Below are 20813 nucleotides of genomic sequence, written 5' to 3'. Positions count from 1 at the left end.
AAGTGACATTTTCTACTGATTTGTTTTCCAGATTAATAAATCTTTTTTCAGTTAATCTGCTGTTAAAGCTATCTTTTGCAGTCTTAATTTCAGTTACGGGATATTAATTAGAATCTGTAATTGATTTTTTTATTATACTTTAAGTTCTAGGGTACACGTGCAGAATATGCAGGTTTGTTACATATGTATACATGTGCCATGTTGGTGTGCTGCACCCATTAACTTGTCATTTACATTAGGTATATCTCCTAATGCTATCCCTCCCCCCTCCCCCGACCCCATGTCAGGCCCCGGTGGGTGATGTTCCCCTTCCTGTGTCCAAGTGTTCTCATTGTTCAATTCCCACCTATAAGTGAGAACATGCGGTGTTTGGTTTTTTCTCCCTGTGATAGTTTGCTGAGAATGATGGTTTCCAGCTTCATCCATGTCCCTACAAAGGACATGAACTCATCATTTTTTATGGCTACATAGTATTCCATAGTGTATATGTGCCACATTTTCTTAATCCAGTCTATCATTGAAGGACATTTGGGTTGGTTCCAAGTCTTTGTTATTGTGAATAGTGCTGCAATAAACATACGTGTGCCTGTGTCCTTATAGCAGCATGATGTATAATCCTTTGGGTATATACCCAGTAATGGGATGGCTGGGTCAAATGGTATTTCTAGTTCTAGATCCTTGAGGAATCGCCACACTGTCTTCCACAGTGGTTGAACCAGTTTACAGACCCACCAACAGTGTAAAAGTGTTCCTATTTCTCCACAGCCTCTCCAGCACCTGTTGTTTCCTGATTTTTTAATGATGGCCATTCTAACTGGTGTGAGATGGTATCTCACTGTGGTTTTGATTTGTATTTCTCTGATGTCCAGTGATGATGAGCATTTTTTCATGTGTCTGTTGGCTGCATAAATGTCTTCTTTTAAGAAGTGTCTGTTCATATCTTTTGCCCACTTTTTGATGGGGTTGCTTGTTTTTTTCTTGTAAATTTGTTGGAGTTCCTTGTAGATTCTGGATATTAGCCCTTTGTCAGATGACTAGATTGCAAAAATTGTCTCCCATTCTGTAGGTTGCCTGTTCACTCTGATGGTAGTTTCTTTTGCTGTGCAGAAGCTCTTTAGTTTAATTAGATCTCATTTGTCAATTTTGGCTTTTGTTGCCATTACTTTTGGTGTTTTAGACATGAAGTCCTTGCCCATGCCTATGTCCTGAATGGTATTGCCTATGTTTTCTTCTAGGGTTTTTATGGTTTTTGGTCTAACATTTAAGTCTTTAATCCATCTTTTTTTTAATAGTTTTTTTTTTTTGGCTAAAAATTTTTTTTTAAATTTTATTATTATACTTTAAGTTTTAGGGTACATGTGCACAATGTGCAGGTTAGTTACATATGTATACATGTGCCATGCTGGTGTGCTGCACCCATTAACTCGTCATTTAGCATTAGGTATGTCTCCTAAAGCTATCCCTCCCCACTCTCCCCACCCTACAACAGACCCCAGAGTGTGATGTTCCCCTTCCTGTGTCCATGTGTTCCCATTGTTCAATTCCCACCTATGAGTGAGAATATGCAGCGTTTGGTTTCTTGTTCTTGCGATAGTTCACTGAGAATGATGATTTCCAATTCATCCATGTCCCTATAAAGGACATGAACTCATCATTTTTTATGGCTGCATAATATTCCATGGTGTATATGTGCCACATTTTCTTAATCCAGTCTATCATTGTTGGACATTAGGGTTGGTTCCAAGTCTTTGCTATTGTAAATAGTGCTGCAATAAACATACGTGTGCATGTGTCTTTATAGCAGCATGATTTATAGTCCTTTGGGTATATACCCAGTAATGGGATGGCTGGGTCAAATGGTATTTCTAGTTCTAGATCCCTGAGGAATCGCCACACTGACTTCCACAATGGTTGAACTAGTTTACGGTCCCATCAACAGTGTAAAAGTGTTCCTATTTCTCCACAGCCTCTCCAGCACCTGTTGTTTCCTGACTTTTTAATGATGGCCATTCTAACTGGTGTGAGATGGTATCTCATTGTGGTTTTGATTTGCATTTCTCTGATGGCCAGAGATGGTGAGCATTTTTTCATGTGTTTTTTGGCTGCATAAATGTCTTCTTCTGAGAAGTGTCTGTTCATGTCCTTCGCCCACTTTTTGATGGGGTTGTTTTTTTTCTTATAAATTTGTTGGAGTTCATTGTAGATTCTGGATATTAGCCCTTTGTCAGATGAGTAGGTTGTGGAAATTTTCTCCCATTTTGTAGGTTGCCTATTCACTCTGACGGTAGTTTCTTTTGCTGTGCAGAAGCTCTTTAGTTTAATGAGATCCCATTTGTCAATTTTGGCTTTTGTTGCCATTGCTTTTGGTGTTTTAGACATGAAGTCCTTGCCCATGCCTATGTCCTGAATGGTAATGCCTAGGTTTTCTTCTAGGGTTTTTATGGTTTTAGGTCTAACGTTTAAGTCTTTAATCCATCTTGAATTGATTTTTGTATAAGGTGTAAGGAAGGGATCCAGTTTCAGCTTTCTACATATGGCTAGCCAGTTTTCCCAGCACCATTTATTAAATAGGGAATCCTTTCCCCATTGCTTGTTTTTCTCAGATTTGTCAAAGATCAGATGGTTGTAGATGTGTGGTATTATTTCTGAGGGCTCTGTTCTTTTCCATTGGTCTATATCTCTGTTTTGGTACCAGTACCATGCTGTTTTGGTTACCGTAGCCTTGTAGTATAGTTTGAAGTCAGGTAGTGTGATGCCTCCAGCTTTGTTCTTTTGGCTTAGGATTGACTTGGCAATGCTGGCTCTTTTTTGGTTCCATATGAACTTTAAAGTAGCTTTTTCCAATTCTGTGAAGAATGTCATTGGCAGCTTGATGGGGATGGCATTGAATCTATAAATTACCTTGGGCAGTATGGCCATTTTCATAATATTGATTCTTCCTATCCATGAGCACGGGATGTTCTTCCATTTGTTTGTATCCTCTTTTATTTCCTTGAGCAGTGGTTTGTAGTTCTCCTTGAAGAGGTCCTTCACATCCCTTGTAAGTTGGATTCCTAGGTATTTTATTCTCTTTGAGGCAATTGTGAATGGGAATTCACTCATGATTTGGCTCTATGTTTGTCTGTTATTGGTGTATAAGAATGCTTGTGATTTTTGCACATTGATTTTGTATCCTGAGACTTTGCTGAAATTGCTTATCAGCTTAAGGAGATTTTGGGCTGAGACAATGGGGTTTTCTAGATATACAATCATGTCATCTGCAAACAGGGACAATTTGACTTCCTCTTTTCCTAATTGAATACCCTTTATTTCTTTCTCCTGCCTGATTGCCCTGGTGAGAACTTCCAACACTATGTTGAATAGGAGTGGTGAGAGAGGGCAAACCTATCTTATGCCAGTTTTCAAAGGGAATGCTTCCAGTTTTTGCCCATTCAGTAAGATATTGGCTGTGGGTTTGTCAGAAATAGCTCTTATTATTTTGAGATACGTCCAATCAATACCTAATTTATTGAGAGTTTTTAGCATGAAGGGCTGTTGAATTTTCTCAAAGGCCTTTTCTGCATCTATTGAGATAATCGTATGGTTTTTGTCTTTGGTTCTGTTTATATGCTGGATTACGTTCATTGATTTGCATATGTTGAACCAGCCTTGCAAACCAGGGATGAAGCCCACTTGATCATCGTTGATAAGCTTTTTGATGTGCTGCTGGATTTGGTTTGCTAGTATTTTATTGAGGATTTTTGCATTGATGTTCATCAGGGATATTGGTCTAAAATTCTCTTTTTTTGTTGTGTCTCTGCCAGGCTTTGGTATCAGGATGGGGCTGGCCTCATAAAATGAGTTAGGGAGGATTCCCTCTTTTTCTATTGATTGGAATAGTTTCAGAAGGAATGGTACCAACTCCTCCTTGTACCTCTGGTAGAATTTGGCTGTGAATACATCTGGTCCTGGACTTTTTTTGGTTGGTAGTCTATTAATTATTGCCTCAATTTCAGAGCCTGTTATTGGTCTATTCAGGGATTCAACTTCTTCCTGGTTTAGTCTTGGGAGGGTGTATGTGTCCAGAAATTTATCCATTTCTTCTAGATTTTCTAGTTTATTTGTATAGAGGTGTTTATAGTATTTTCTGATGGTAGTTTGTATTTCTGTGGGATCGGTGGTGATATCCCCTTTATCATTTTATATTGCGTCATTTGATTCTTCTCTTTTCTTCTTTGTTAATCTTGCTAGCGGTCTATCAATTTTGTTGATCTTTTCAAAAAACCAGCTCCTGGATTCATTGATTTTTTGAAGGGTTTTTTTTGTGTCTCTGTCTCCTTCAGTTCTCCTCTGATCTTCGTTATTTCTTGTCTTCTGCTAGCTTTTGAATGTGTTTGCTCTTGCTTCTCTAGTTCTTTCAATTGTGATGTTAGGGTGTCAATTTTGGATCTTTCCTGCTTTCTCTTGTGGGCATTTAGTGCTATAAATTTCCCTATACACACTGCTTTAAATGTGTCCCAGAGATTCTGGTATGTTGTGTCTTTGTTCTTATGGGTTTCAAAGAACATCTTTATTTCTGCCTTCATTTCATTATGTACCCTGTAGTCATTCAGGGGCAGGTTGTTCAGTTTCCATGTAGTTGTGTGGTTTTGAGTGAGTTTCTTAATCCTGAGTTCTAGTTTGATTGTGCTGTGGTCTGAGAAACAGTTTGTTACAATTTCTATTCTTTTACATTTGCTGAAGAGTGCTTTACTTCCAACTATGAGGTCAATTTTGGAATAAGTGCAACGTAGTGCTGAGAAGAAGGTATATTCTGTTGATTTGGGGTGGAGAGTTCTGTAGATGTCTATTAGGTCTGCTTGGTGCAGAGCTGAGTTCAGTTCCTGGATATCCTTGTTAATTTTCTGTCTCATTGATCTGTGTAATATTGACAGTGTGGTGTTAGTCTCCCATTATCATTGTGTGGAAGTCTAAGTCTCTTTGTAGGTCTCTAAGGGCTTGCTTTATGAATCTTGGTGCTCCTGTATTAGGTGCATATATATTTAGGATAGTTAGCTCTTCTTGTTGAATTGATCCCTTTACCTTTATGTAATGGCCTTCTTTGTCTCTTTTGATCTTTGTTGGTTTAAAGTCTGTTTTATCAGAGACTAGGATTGTAACCCCTTCTTTTTTTTGCTTTCCATTTGCTTGGTAGATCTTCCTCCATCCCTTTATTTTGAGCGTATGTGTGTCTCTGCATGTGAGATGGGTCTCCTGAATACAGCACACTGATGGGTCTTGACTCTTTATCCAATTTGCCAGTCTGTGTCTTTTAATTGGAGCATTTAGCCCATTTACATTTAAGGTTAATATTGTTATGTGTGAATTTGATCCTGTCATTATGATGTTAGCTGGTTATTTTGCTCATAAGTTGATGCAGTTTCTTCCTAGCCTTGATGGTCTTTACAATTTGGCATGTTTTTGCAGTGGCTGGTACTGGTTGTTCCTTTCCATGTTTAGTGCTTCTTCAGGAGCTCTTGTAGAGCAGGCCTGGTGGTGACAAATCTCTCAGCATTTGCTTGTCTGTAAAGGATTTTATTTCTCCTTCACTTATGAAGCTTAGTTTGGCTGGACACGAAATTCTGGGTTGAAAATTCTTTTCTTTAAGAATGGTGAATATTGGCCCCCACTCTCTTCTGGCTTGTAGAGTTTCTGCCAAGAGATCCGCTGTTAGTCTGATGGGCTTCCCTTTGTAGGTAACCCAACCTTTCTCTCTGGCTGCCCTTAACATTTTTTCCTTCATTTCAACTTTGGTGAATCTGACAATTATGTGTCTTGGAGTTGCTCTTCTCGAGGAGTATCTTTGTGGCATTCTCTGTATTTCCTGAATTTGAATGTTGGCCTGCCTTGCTAGGTTGGGGAAGTTCTCCTGCATAATATCCTGCAGAGTGTTTTCCAACTTGGTTCCATTCTCCCCGTCACTTTGAGGTATACCAATCAGACATGGATTTGGTCTTTTCACATAGTCCCATATTTCTTGGAGGCTTTGTTCATTTCTTTTTACTGTTTTTTCTCTAAACTTCTCTTCTCGCTTCATTTCATTCATTTGATCTTCAATCACTGATACCCTTTCTTCCAGTTGATGGAATTGGCTACTGAAGCTTGTGCATTGGTTATGTAGTTCTCGTGCCATGGTTTTCAGCTCCATGAGGTCATTTAAGGACTTCTCTACACTGGTTATTCTAGTTAGCCATTCATCTAATTTTTTTTCAAGGCTTTTAGCTTCTTTGCGATGCATTCGAACTTCCTCCTTTAGCTTGGAGAAGTTTGATCGTCTGAAGCCTTCTTCTCTCAACTCGTCAAAGTCACTCTCCATCCAGCTTTGTTGCATTGCTGGTGAGGAGCTGCATTCCTTTGGAGGGGGAGAGGTGCTCTGATTTTTAGAATTTTCTCTTTTCTGCTCTGTTTTTTCCCCATCTTTGTGGTTTTATCTACCTTTGGTCTTTGATGATTTTGACGTACAGATGGGGTTTTGGTGTGGATGTCCTTTGTGTTTGTTAGTTTTCCTTCTGACAGTTAGGACCCTCAGGTGCAGGTCTGTTGGTGTTTGCTGGAGATCCACTCCTGACCCTGTTTGCCTGGGTATCAGCAGCGGAGGCTGCAGAACAGCGAGTATTGCTGAACAGCAAATGTTGCTGCCTGATCATTCCTCTGGAAGCTTCGTCTCAGAGGGGTACCCGGCCATGTGAGGTGTCAGTCTGCCCCTACTGGGGGATGCCTCCCAGTTAGGCTACTCCGGGGTCAGGGTCCCACTTGAGGAAGCAGTCTGTCCGTTCTCAGATCTCAAACTGTGCTGGGAGAACGATTACTCTCTTCAAAGCTGTCAGACAGGGACATTTAAGTCTGCAGAGGTTTCTGCTGCCTTTTGTTCAGCTATGACCTTCCCCTCCAGAGGGGGAGTCTATACAGGCAGGCAGGCCTCCTTGAGCTGCAGTGGGCTCCACCCAGATAGAGCTTCCCGGCCACTTTGTTTACCTACTCAAGCCTCAGCAATGGCGGGCGCCCATCCCCCACCCTCGCTGCTGCCTTACAGTTTAATCTCAGACTGCTGTGCTAGCAATGAGTGAGGCTCCGTGGGTGTGGGACTCTCTGAGCCATGTGCAGGATATAATCTCCTGGTGTGCTGTTTGCTAAGACCGTTGGAAAAGCGCAGTATTAGGCTGGGAGTGACCCGATTTTCCAGGTGCCGTCTGTCACAGCTTCCCTTGGCTAGGAAAGGGAATTCCCTGACCCCTTGTGCTTCCCGGGTGAGGCGATGCCTCACCCTGCTTTGGCTCACACTTGGTGGGCTGCACCCACTGTCCTGCACCCACTGTCCGACAAGCCCCAGTGAGCTGAACTCGGTACCTCAGTTGGAAATGCAGAAATCACCCGTCTTCTCTGTCGCTCATGCTGGGAGCTGTAGACTGGAGCTGTTCCTATTCAGCCATATTGGAACCGCCCCTCTAATTGATTTTTTAAATGTATTTTCATCCTCTGATGAAATTTTCCATCTTGTCATTTATTTTCTTGAATACATTAATAGCTATTTTAAAGTCCGTATTAACTAACATCAGTATCTGGATGCTTGTCAGTCTGTTTATTTTTTTAGCTTAAACAAATTTTTACTACACAAAGTTGTCACATAATTGGATATTTTCCTAGTTTGTACACAATTCTTATTCTCTACAGAAAGGCTGCTTAACTTTTCATCTGGTGATAGTAAGCACTAAAATTCTGACTTATAGAATAGTAGTAAAAATACCTCTGTGATTTAAGTTGAAAGAAGTACATTGGTACATGGTGGTTGCACCCAATATCAGGAATGCACAAATGTCCTTTTATACAAAAATACAAAATAAATTATTTGTAGGCATGGACAATGGCAGCAGTAACCCATTATATATTGTCAACTGAAACCAGTAACTGATGGTTATAGTGATTTTCTTAAACATCAGCCTTCAGCCATTTTCTCCAACTGACTTCTCTGAAGTTATTGGTGAGGAACACTGCCTTGAGCTTCCTGTCACAGTTCATTAATAAAGCACTATTCTAGGAATAAGAACATCTCACCTCCCATTCCACCCACTGCACCCATTCCAGGGTTCTTCCCTTTAGAAATTTCTGTAATTACAGCTTATGATTTAGTTAACAGAGTGCACCCCAGCAGCGCCCAATAAAGCAGTTCTCACAATGTTTGTTGGGTCAATTTTTCCTTTTTCCACCATATTCATAACATAGCATCATCACCAACTTCTTAGGAACTTTGCATAATTTTCTCAACTATCAAAAATCCTTCAACACCTGCATTCTTAACAATAGTCACTGCAGGATTTTTGAGTGTTCTTTTAATAACTTCTGTACGAATTTTTAAATCTTCATTAGCTGGAGTTAATGAATCCAAGGCTCAAGTGCACTGGAGCAAGGCACAACCCCCTCCCAGAGCAATGCCTTCTTCAACAGCAGCTCTTACAGCATTAAGGGCATCTGTAACTCTGTCTTTCATTCATTCACTTTGACATCACTTGTCCCACCAGCCTTCAGCACTGCTACTCCATCTGAAAGTTTTGCCAGACATACATTCAGTTTTTCCTTTTCATATTCACTAGTTGTAACATCTAACTGCTCAACGATTTCTTGAATATATTTTTCAATTTGAGCCTTAAAAGGAAAAACATTTTCCTTTTAAAAGCATAGCATCATATTTGGTCAAAATGACCTCTCCAACTTTTTCTAAGTTACGAGGCTAAATAGCTTCAAAATTTAGGGCTAACCCCTCTTCACTAAACACCAGACCACCAGTAGCAATAGCTGTATCTTCACGTTGGTTCTTTCTGTTGTCACCAAAATCTGGAGCTTTGACTGCTATGATCTGAAGACCAACTTTTAGCCTATTAAAAATGAATGTACTTCGAGCTTCTCTATCAATATCTTCAGCAATTATGACCAAGGACTTACAGTGAGGATTGGCAATTTAAAGAGCAGGTACAGTGGTCTGGACACTAGAAATTTTCATTTCATTCAATACAACATAGGCATCCTGGAATTCACATTTCTAACCTTTTGACGTATTAATAAAGTATGGAGAAATATAGCCTCAATCAAACTTTATGCCTTTAATAATTTCTAATTCATCATTCAGTGTTTTTCCATCCTTTACTGTGAGGACACCCTTTCTTCCAAATTTATTTGCATCAGAAATGATGTTGACAATTTCTTTGTCTCCATTTGCAGAAATCGTAGCAACCTGAGCAATTTCTCCAGGGGTTGTCATGGTTCAGACAGCTTCTTAAGTTCAGCAATTATAACATCAACAGCTAACATCACACTTCTGATTTCCACAGGATTAGCACTTTTGCTAATCTTTTCAAAGCCTTTCTTGGCAAAAGAGCATGGCAGTACAATAGCACTGGTGATGGCCTCCCCAGCTTCTTCATTTGTGTTATTAGCAACATCTTGAACAAGTTTAACTCCAATATTTTTATGTTTATCCTTTACATCAATTGACTTTGGAACAGTCACACCATCTTTTGTTACTTTAGAACTTCCCCAGTTGATCAATCATTGTTTTTGGCCCTATTGTAACAGCTACAGCATCTGCTAAAAAGTCTACACCCTGAAGCAGTAAGGCTTGGGAATCTGCACCAAATTTTACATCTTTGGCAAAATCCTGTGAGATAAGGGGCTAGTACCCTGGACACCGGTCTCATCTGGCAAGACTGTGGGTAATTGAAGCATTTCTGTCGGATGGCAGCGAGGCGTGGGTGCGGTGAGACAGGTCGTCAGTGGCGAGTGAGGGGCGAGCCCATTTCCATGGTTTTGATTAAATGGCTGAAATTATGCATTTTACACTATAGAAGTTAGTTCTTTCTAGATAATGCTGTTTTCCTCTTGAGAAGTATTTTTTTGTTTTGTTTTGTTTTTAGCTTCTGAGACACAGAGTAGGAACATATCATCTTCATCAGATAAGGACTCCATGTGATTTAGAGTTGGATTTCAGCCCTTTCATTTCTTATTTGCCTTACTGAAATTCTGGGGTATGTACCAGGACTTCTTTACGTTGGCAAACACTGAAGACTAATTTTAACTCACTAGCACCAAGATATGCCAATAGCTCAACTTCAGTCCTCAACCTGACAGTATTCACTTTCCTCTTGGTTCTCCACTTCTTGGCCTGTGCTGCTTCTATATCAGTGAAAACCTAAGGGAAATAGAGAAGGTGAATGTTGGGTTGGCTTCAGTGAATTTTCTTTCTCTCAGTGATCTTGGTTCCACAATCCCCAGTTACACTGGTGGCTCTCTGATGCCTTCAGACAATTTAACTTTGTTTTGTTTTTTAGTTATATTAGCCATTCTAGTTGTTCTCAGCTAGAGGATTGATTGGCCACAAATCTGTCATAGCCAATAGGAGGAGAGCCCTCCATTCCCTTTGATTCTGTCTCTGACTCCAGCCAATACCTGCTTTCAAGGACCAGAACACTTTTACTTACTTTTGATTGATCAAACCTCTTTAATTCTGGTGACAGAGTTGTTCAAACACTCTTTATCTCCTTGCCTTGTCCAAGACAAGCCCTTCTCTGGAGGATCATCATAAGAAAACCAAAGAGAAAGATGGCCCTGCATTCTAGGGTCAAGTGAACTGTTTCTACAAAATCTTTAAGTCCTCAAACCCAGTCTCCTCATTTGCCCTGACCCTGCCTGTCCAGGTGGAGTGAGGAGCACCACTAACTCAGTGCTCATCCTACTAGAAGCTCCTGCCTCATGACACTGTAATCATTTGTGGAAGCCTAGAAATGTTTCTATAATCTACTAGACTAAATTCCTTAAGGAGCTTTTATTTTCTGTATATTCAATTGCCTTTTCATGTGACAGTAACTTGGTTAAATTTTCTCTAGAGAATCAACAAAGATAATTCAGTCATTTCTCTAGTGTAGTTGTTTAAAATGTGCTTTTTATTATTAACAATTTTTAATTTTATATTCTTTTTTCTGATTACTTTTTACTAATAATATTTACACTGGGAATGATCAATTTGTGGAAAACTTCCATTAAGTTTCTCCATATTTGGAAGATTTTTCCACAGACTAAAATCTGCCTTGATATATTTCTCTTCCAAACTCACATTCTTTTGATGCTGGGTATCACTGGACACATCCAAATTGCAATGAGACATTGATCTCTGCTCCTTTGGTTACAACATTGGGTGAGTCAGCACAGTGGGAGGTAGTATGATTCTTGGAAGCTACCCCTATACCATAACACATAGCCATAAATTAACTGTAAATATGATTGAATGTGAACCACATAAATACACCTCACTAAATCAAAACTAAGCCCAAATTAGCTTACCCAAACCCTTCGTTGGGTCCTGTGGCCACTCCAACTCTATCTAACAGGAGGGGAAGTGCAATGAAGGAAAAATTACAGTAGAAAGAGACAGCTGTTTTGACTGATTATGGTTAAAATGTATTTGCAGATTTTACAGAAACATGTTACTATGAGAACATACTGCCCAGGCCCTTCCCAGGGCCTGACAGGGGCCATGAAGCTTAAACTTCATTAGCTTCAGGGTAAATCTACCTTGTATTTAAATATTATTAAAGATCAGCCCCTGCAAAGAGTTGGCTAATTTAGAATGTCGGCTCTGAAATAATCATAGACCAAGAAAAGATGGCTAGGTCTTTTCCCTTTATATAAATTCATACATACGATCTTGGAGAGATTCAGTACCACATCAACCCCCTTCCCCTAATAGTCTCATGTCAATAGGACTTCCCAAGAGGAGGAACAAAAGAGTAATAGTTATTCCCCAAATCCTTTCTCTCTTTCCCTCCAAGTCTTCAGTCCAACACACTTGTAATATTATTTATACTTTTCCTCTTTAACCTTAAATTGAACTAACATTCATTAAATACCTATTACCTGTCAGACGCTGTTACCCAATACCTTCACATTATTGCCAGATAATTAGGGCAACAATTCCTGAGGACATAATGAAGATATAGTTGCAATGAGTCTATTCCAATCACTCTAGATGGGAGATCATTACTTATGTCCATATTTATGTTTCATATATTAATCTACAGGGTACATTTAAAGTATAAGGATTTATATAAATTTTCTAGAATAGGATTCTATTGCCTGTGTTTATGTCTCTATATAAAATTTAACTCTTAAAATAGGATTCTTCTTGGGGGTATGTGTGAAAGTGGTTAAGAATTGTTTATTTGGCAAAAGTTGGTGGAGATCAATTTTTTGTTTGTTTCCCAACACCTGCATTAACATCCCTGTGCACACACAGTTTTTCTTAAGCAAATTCAAATAAGGAAGGAGCAAGATAAAATCCTAGATTTATCTGTCACCTGACTATAGTCACTATTGTACTGTATATACAGCAAATACATTAGTTGGCTCTAAATGTTTTCTGATACTGCACACTTGTTTTCTTAAGATCCACAAAACGCTGAAGAGTGAAATATGGCTTTTCATTTGTTGACTCAACAACCAGAAAACTAATTAGGGCTGGAGGCACATGCCATCATCAACTTAAAGCCCTGTCAAACCCTGAAAGGTCTGAGGCAGTGGTAGCTAAATTGATGTTAGGTAATATGTGAGTTCTTCTTTCTTAGGAAAAATAAGATCTCAAAACATTTCTTGGACATGGAAATTGCTTAGAACATATTTAATGCTTTAAGTGCAAATATTGAAAATATGAGCCCTTCAATTTCTGGGAGGAGACAGGGTATCTGGCTGGGACCAGAGCGGTGGCTCTGCTGACGGTCAGCCATGGTGTGGGGCAACGTCCTTCATGCCACTAGATTGCCAGGCAGCAATGAACTGTGATTAAAATCAAGAGATCAAGACTCACATTTTCATTTGAAAAAGGTTGAAAACTCACTTCAGATATAGAAATGGTGCTAAAATGTGACCATTTCTATGCCCCTCAGATATTCTGTACCCACAGAGTATTTCCCCTCCATTCTTTCCTACATCAGGCAGAAGATGGATGAACTACCTATGGCACCAGAAGAGGCAGCAGCTGAAGGCACAGAGCCCTTCACCCCATTCTTCCCTGAACAGGAAACCTCAAAAACACTTGTCATTTGACAGATTTGATGTCACAAATGTCAATCATTACTAAGTAATGATTATTGCATTCCTGAAGTTGCTCTAGATGCTACAAATAATCTCCTACTACTGGTATAACTGAGAATTGCCAGGCACTTCCTTCTTCATGTAGGTATCTTATGTTTCCAAATTGTACCAAAAAGTAGTTGTTCTGAGATGTGGAGGCAGCCCTCCCCACAAGTGTTTTGCTGCCCAGTACAAAAGGTAGTTGTTTTTTTCCCCAAAATCTATGCATACTTCTCTCATTTCTTATGCCATTTTTTTTTTTGGCCAGGAAATTATACAACCAAAGGTCAGTGTTGCTTACAAAGATAATGATAGCTGTCATCTATTGAGCAGCTGTTGTTTCATTTAACCATTATAAAAACACTGTGAAGCAAGGAATGCTTTTCCCATTTTGAGACAAGGAAATGGAAGTTCAGAGAAGTCAAGCATCTTGAGCAAGGCTACGAAGTTAAGTAAGAAATAAGTCCAGGATTCCAAGCCCAGTTTGTTTGAACTCAGAGTCTATGGGCTGGATATGTATTGTGGGGAAAAAAACAAACAAACCTGGAATTAGAAATGACACCAAATTCTGATAAGTAACTCCCCCGTACCTTGCCTCTCCAGGCTAAACATCTCAAGTTGCTACAATCCTTCTTTCTATGACATAGTTAGGGATGTCCTCATCACCCTGGTCACTGTCTTTTAGACCTACTTGAGTTTGTCAAAGGCCCTATTCAGGCCAGAACAAAACACAGTGCTCCAACTGCCTCTAACCAGTGCAAAAAAGACCAGAACCCCTGGCTTCTCTTGGGAGGGATACTGCTGAGAAATAAAGGTCAAGTTTAAAGCACAGTTCTACATGTGTGATGGTTCCCAATGCATAATAGTGCTTATACCTCCATCACTGCAGCCAGCTCTGGTGCTAATGCTTAGAACCTTGACCATGTTCTTCTCATAGGGCATCTGCATTCAACACAACTCTGTGGTCTTTCTCGATAGAGTGATCACTCAGATGTGTTTTCCTGCAGCCTCCACCCTTGTGTGGTTCATTGAGGGGGACACACCAGTCATTCAAAGGCTCTGGCTTACACTGCCTTTGTCTGCTCTGGGCTGTGCACTTTCTGATTATCTTGCAGCGTCACATATTCACACTGAAGAGGCAACTATTAAAATTGAAATCCAAAAGGGGCAGAGAAGAATGAGGCTTATAGTATTCATCCCATTTCTCCAGTTCTGCCTTTCTTATTTCGCTTTATCCTTAGCCTTTTGACTTCAATATGGTGTTATTTTCTATTACAATGCTCCACTCTTTCTGTGGTCATTATTATATTTGTTTCTCCCAAACCAAAGATGGAGGTGGAAGAATTAAATCCCTTTGTCAAAAGTGTAGCAGAGGCACTGTGTCCATAATATGCCCATGTTAATGCCTCTCTTTCCATAAAGATCCAACTTGTAACCTGCTCTCCATAGAACCTCTTCTGATCAACCCCAGCCCCTGGTAATTTCTCCGTCTTCCAGCTTCTGTGTGAGATACTGCAAGATACTGGAGGGATCTTTGTCTGGAAAATTACACCTCTGTCATACTGGATTCTTGCATGCTACCTTTGTTTGGGTTAGTGCTGACATTTTTAGAAGGCTGGGATCCTCTGAATCATCAGTGCCTGGGGCTTCAGTACAGTCACCTTCAAGGTTGTGGCAACAACAAACGTCCTCAGCCCCGCTGCTGCTAGCAGAAGGTGTCTTAGCACAAACAGGTGATGCTTTAAGGTCATGGATAAAGTCTGGTGAGTGCCAGTAATAAACAAAGGAGTGGAAACTGAAAGGGACAAACAATTCCAGAGACAAGACTTTGGGATCTTATCACGATGGAAACCCTTTGGGAACTGGGAACTGGATCGATATTCTGGGATCCTGGGATCTCTGTAAAAAAAAAACAAAAACAAAAACAAAACAAAAACCCAGAAAACAAAGCAATATCTGCTTTATTGGATTTATCTGGTAATTTATCCAGTAATTGCCCAGTAACATAACTAATAATATAAATTGATGATTAAAAAAATAAACTGTAGGCTGGGTGCGGTGGCTCATGCCTGTGATCCCAACACTTTGGGAGGCCGAGGCGGGCAGATCACGAGGTGAAGAGATGGAGACCATCCTGGTCAACAGGTGAAACCCTGTCTCTACTAAAAATAAAAAAATTAGCTGGGCGTGGTGGCGCGTGCCTGTAGTCCCCACTACTCGGGAAGCTGAGTCAGGAGAATTGCTTGAACCCGCGAAGGGGAGGTTGCAGTGAGCCAAGATCGCGCCACTGCACTCTAGCCTAGCAACAGAGCGAGACTCCGTCTCAAAAAATAAAAAATAAAAAATAAAATAAAATAAACTACATTCTTCTTTGGATTTTTGGATTGCATATATGGATATATGGAATAACCAAGGGTTGTGAATATGAAGAGCAACCAGAGAGAACCTGTGCTGAAACTCACATGGTTTGTGGATGTGGACATCACAATGTGAAGGAAAGAGCTCTGAGACATGGGTTTCATCTCTAGCTCCTTTCTATACTTTTCATGCTGGCTCTGAGACCTAAAGCAGGCCACTCTCTGGTTATGTTTTCTCATCTCTAAAATGAAGGAATGAAGGTGTTAAATTTCATACCATCTAAAACATTTCCAACTGTAAAATTCTCTTCCTAAGCTATTCTCATTCTAGCAGGAAATAATTTTGTTTTCATTTCTACATATCTTTAATTTTAGATGATCTCATGCCTAGAAATGGTTCCATAAAAGGATAAAGTACTTTAAATCACTCCCTCTCTCTCTCTCATCTGTTTTTTATATACATAGAAAATGTCTGTTATCAATGATTTCTGGGGTTGGGAAAGTGATTTTTACTTCTCTCTACTGCTGTACTATTAGCTTTTTTTATAATAGTATACATTACATTTATTAAAAATATGAAAATGAAAACTATGCCCTTTTACTTTCTGGATTTCCAAGAATAGGACTTATGAAGTGAAGTTAAATTAAGCTCATCAAAGATAAATTAACTTAAATTGTTATTTTGCTCATTGAATTTTGGTAAGTAGCTTTTGATAAAATGTTGGAAAATCATTTAAAGAGATGAAACACACTCTCATTGTTCCAGCTTCTTTGTGTAGATGATAGCAAGGTTTTATACAAAGTAATATTCAATGAACTGCGTGTATATGAGCGATTTTGGATTTTTTCCAGTTTCAGTTCTCTTTCAATACATATTGAAAACAGCAGAAACCCAGGAATTCTCATCTAAGTTATGTGCCAAAACAAATGATCAGGTTACACCTGTTTGGCTTACACTACCTTGGAAACCACTGGGCTTAAAGCACTAGTTTGCTCTCAGGGAAACAATATAACCAACTCATGCTTTTTTAAATCAAATGAGTAACTGACTGGATCTCTTATTAATCTCCACATCTGTGTAAAGAGGTAAGTTAAGCTTATTTCTCTTATGATAGGTTTTGTCTATTTAATGGGAAAATTGCATTTCTTGTAGTTTTGTCTATTTAATGGGAAAATTGCATTTCTTGTAGTTTTGTCTATTTAATGGGAAAATTGCATTTCTTGTAAGTGGGTAGTCATTACTTTTTAAAAAGTTCCAGTAAGAGAAGTTATCCAAATTATTGCAAACCTCATCATACTGCCATTCAGTTTTGTGCCGCATCACATGTGCTCTTTCTGGATAAGCTGCCACGAAGTAAGGTTGCCTATGTGGAATGTGTGGTTGACTCTAGAGCTTTCAGAGGGTGTAGCCAAGAAAGAATGCCAGGCCTGAGCAAAAAGTGTGAGGGCTGATGTGAATGAGCAGGACGAGGGGGAACAGAGGAGCAGTCCAGGATCTTCTAGGGACATTTTCTGTGTGGATGGAGGGCAACTTTAGCACTGTTTTTAATAGGGGATTCTCTAAAAATGACAATGCTTATACAGGAAATTTAAAAACCTTGCAAGTGGTGTGTATGCACATGTGTTGGCCTATGTGGGTACTGTTCTTTCTACTCAGTATTTCATGGATTCCTAGTGTCGAAGTGTTTTTTATATTATTTTTTTAATATACAATTATTTACATGTATCAAACCTAAAACTACTTGTAGATTTATGGCTCTTATGCATCTATATTTACAAAATAAAAATTGAACATTACAAAACGAGTACAATTAAAATAATTAAAGTTTAACAGACAAAAGACATCATGTTGCTGAAACTAAATCACTGCTCATTGAGAGAACCAGCTACTGACTATAGAAGCCTGATTCTTTGAAGCTAGGCTCACTTGTTCTGTGGGCCAGGTAATGGCTTGTTTGTCGTCTACCACTCGTCTCCAATCAAACTACTAGCAGGCTTCATTCCTGCTGTACATCTACCCATCGTGGCTTCATTTATTTGGCTTTCTCTTGAGCATACCCGTTATGTGTTGTTTCTCATAGGCTAAAATAATTAAAGTTCTGGTACTTGGTTCCATTATGATTTTAAGTACTATGTAAATGTTTTGTGCAAAGGGCGAGATAGTAAATATTTTAGGTTTTGAGGGCCATACTGTCTCTGTCGCAACTACTCCACACTGCAGTTCTAGCATGAAAGCAGCCATCGACAACAGTAAACATTTAGGCGTGGCTGAGTCTCAAAAAGTGTTATTTACAAAACAGGTGGTGGACTGGATTGGGCCTGAGTGCTGTGTAGTTTGCAGAATGCTCATAAATATGAGTGCAGAAATGCTGAAATCCTCTGGCAGTCCTTAAATATGAGCTGGTCATTCAGCTTTTTTGCTTTTCTGTTTGTTTTTTAAAAGCTTAGGAATATGAACGTACATATAAACTTCTTGTAGACACTTAAGAATATAACAACAAACCCTCAGTGGGCCACAGATCCTGGGTTTGGGAAACACTGTTTTAGGGATTTTCCAAATAGGCCATCTTCAAAAATAAAAATGCCTCATTCAGATGGGGAATGAGAGTTTGCTAGTGTCAGCAGGCACAACAGGACTCAGAGATGGAAAGATGCCCCTGGGAGGAAATGCTTTTCTTCAGGGGTTAGATGATTTGTGTGCAAGGCAGAACAGAGTTATGAATGTACCAGAGAATCCAGCACTCAGGGGAGAGTAGAAACTAGCCAGGCAGAACTTGGGTTCTTCTACTGCTGGATTTGCTACTGACTTATTGGGAGTGTTGGATGAGTATCCCACCTCTTTGAGTTTTTCAGTTCTTCCATCACTAAAATGAAGGTTGTACCATACATCCTGCTTACTACTGAGGATGGAGGTAAGCATTGGATGAGATGCTGTGAAATGCTGCATAAATGGTCAAGTGCCCAAGGATGAGCATTTTGTTACTAAGAGGTGAAAGGAGCTGTGTATGAAGGCTGAAGGATTTTTCAGGGAGTGTCGCTGGCAGTCTGCAAGGCAATTGGAAATCCAGTGCTCCTCGAACACAAGTTTCAAACCAGCACTTTTGGGGAATGACGAAGCAGCTCTCTGGCTCCCAGCAGTGCAAGGGCTTTTTGGACAGTATTTATGCAGGTAGCCTTGCCTGTCTTCCTCCCAGAGGCCAGCTTGACATTGCCTGAACCTCGCAGGAAGTTAAAGCCTCCAGTGTTGGGCAAGAAGTTGCTGGTGTGGCAAAGCTCATCCTGCAATAAGAGAAGAACAAGTGGGCTGCTCAACAGGGGTTTCAACAGTGTCACCACAGTCAGAACTGGCACTCATTTCCAAAAGTTCAGAAAGTCAGGCACATTGTTTACTCAATCTATTCTAAGGGATTCATCCACATGAGCCAAGCCCAGAGACCTGATCTATAAAATGCATCTCCAGGAACTGGAACTCTTGTATCTAATTTCAGGAGGACTTCCTTGCACAGCATAAACAATTTCAGCATGAAAAAAATTATTACTCAGAAGCTTGCTTGGTAAATTGGCGTAATGAGAATCAATTGTTATGTGTAGTATCTGAAATTCAAAATTTCCTGTGCATTCTACATTTTTGCTTCATCTGGCAACTCTAGTTCCTTCTCTTAAAGAACATGTGGTCTGTACAGATATTAATCACGAAAACAAGTATATGATTACAACTTATAAGTGGCATGAGGGAAAAAAAGCCAACATAATGAACAAGAATACCAAGGAAGACCTAATTTAGATTAGTGGGGTCAGGGAAAGCCACTCTGATTCAGGTTAAGGGGACCAGAGTATTGCAGGAAGGAGGAACAGAATGGATGTAGTGTCTAAAGGAGAAACTGAAGGAAGGAAAGCATGTCTGGAATCCAGTATCCTTTGGAGATGTGCAAGACAAGGTTGGAGATGCAGGCATGGGCACCACTACACAGGCTATTGTTGTCCAGATAAGTGTTTGGCCTTTTTTCCCCTACCCTCAATGCAACAGAAAACCATGGTAGGGCAGAGAAATGAGAATATACAGTCTCCATTTTAAAAGTTAATCTGAATGGATAATGGGTTGGAGAGGGCAAGAATGAGAAACAGAGTGACAGATAGGAAGCTATTATGGTGTTCCAGGCAGGAGATGAAGGTGGCATGGATTAGAGTGGTGGAAGCGCAGATGAAAAGAGTGAAAAGTTTTGGTATGTATTTCAAAGGTAAAAACTTTGGCCTTGAATGTAGATTGGATGTGGGGTTTGAGGCAAAGAGAAGGATGAAGAATGACTTCCAAGTTTCTGGCTTCAACACTTGGGCGGATGGTGGTGCAGTTTACTGAAGCAGAGAACACTGAGAAGGATCAGTGCTTTGGATGGTGCTTCATAAAGTGAAGAAAGTACTGGCAAGATTTCACTTTTGAATATTTTAAGTTTATGAGATGACATCCTATTGGAGATGATAAGAAGGCAGCTGAAAGTCAGAGATGAGAGGTCCACACTGGAGATACATAATTTGGGAGTCATTGACATATATGTAGAGGCAAGAAAGATTTAAAAGGATTCACTATATGATTTTCCGACATGGTAACCTTCCAGATGTCCGTTAATTGGCTTGCTTTGTAAACATTATTCTATAAACAGCTTTCTCCAATTGTTACAAGAACCAAATATATACATATGAAAGAGTGATAGGTCTCTGATTTCATAGTGTTTATTAGGTTTATTTTTTTCAGATTTAATTTTGTATATTCTTATTGTAAAGAATAAGAATGCCATTGTCTTTCCATCCTTTGAAAATAGGGGCCAGGCACGGTGGCTCATGCCTGTAATCCCAGCACTTCGGGAGGCTGAGGTGGGCGGATCGCAAGGTCAGGAATTCGAGACCAGCCTAGTCAATATGGTGAAACTCCGTCTCTACTAGAAATACAAAAATTAGCCAGCCGTGGTGGTGGGCACCTGCAATCCCAGCTACTTGGGAGGCTGAGGCAGGAGAATCGCTTGAACCCGGGAGGCGGAGGTTGTAGTGAGCTGAAATTGCACCACTGCACTCTAGCCTGGGCAACAGAGCAACACTCCATCTGAAAAAAAATTTTTTTAAAAAAATAGGATGGACATTTATAAAATAAAAGTCATAATTATGACATTTGATGCCATCATCCTCTGATTATATTCAAAGATCAGTCACTTTTTTTTTGTTGCCTTTCTTTTAGCAACACAGTCTCTTACCTTCCTCCTACCTCTAAAATGCCCAACAAGGTACTTTCAAATGTTTAGTAAGATTACATAAATATCCTCTTGAGTAATACAG

General features: G+C 39.7%; 1 protein-coding gene and 1 pseudogene across 1 annotated transcript in view; one reads left to right on the top strand and one right to left on the bottom strand.

Moving 5' to 3' along the window:
• The window catches only part of GJB7 (gap junction protein beta 7), a 46299-nt gene that overhangs the window by 20772 nt on the left and 4714 nt on the right, over nucleotides 1–20813 (top strand). The window lies entirely within an intron of this gene.
• HSPD1P10 (heat shock protein family D (Hsp60) member 1 pseudogene 10) lies at nucleotides 7767–9796 on the bottom strand (annotated as a pseudogene).

The sequence above is a fragment of the Homo sapiens genome, chromosome 6 (genome assembly GCF_000001405.40).
Source record: "Homo sapiens chromosome 6, GRCh38.p14 Primary Assembly".
Classification (NCBI taxonomy): domain Eukaryota; kingdom Metazoa; phylum Chordata; class Mammalia; order Primates; family Hominidae; genus Homo; species Homo sapiens.
The sequence above is the reverse complement of the archived record's forward strand: the minus strand, read 5'-3'. Positions and strand labels throughout refer to the sequence as shown.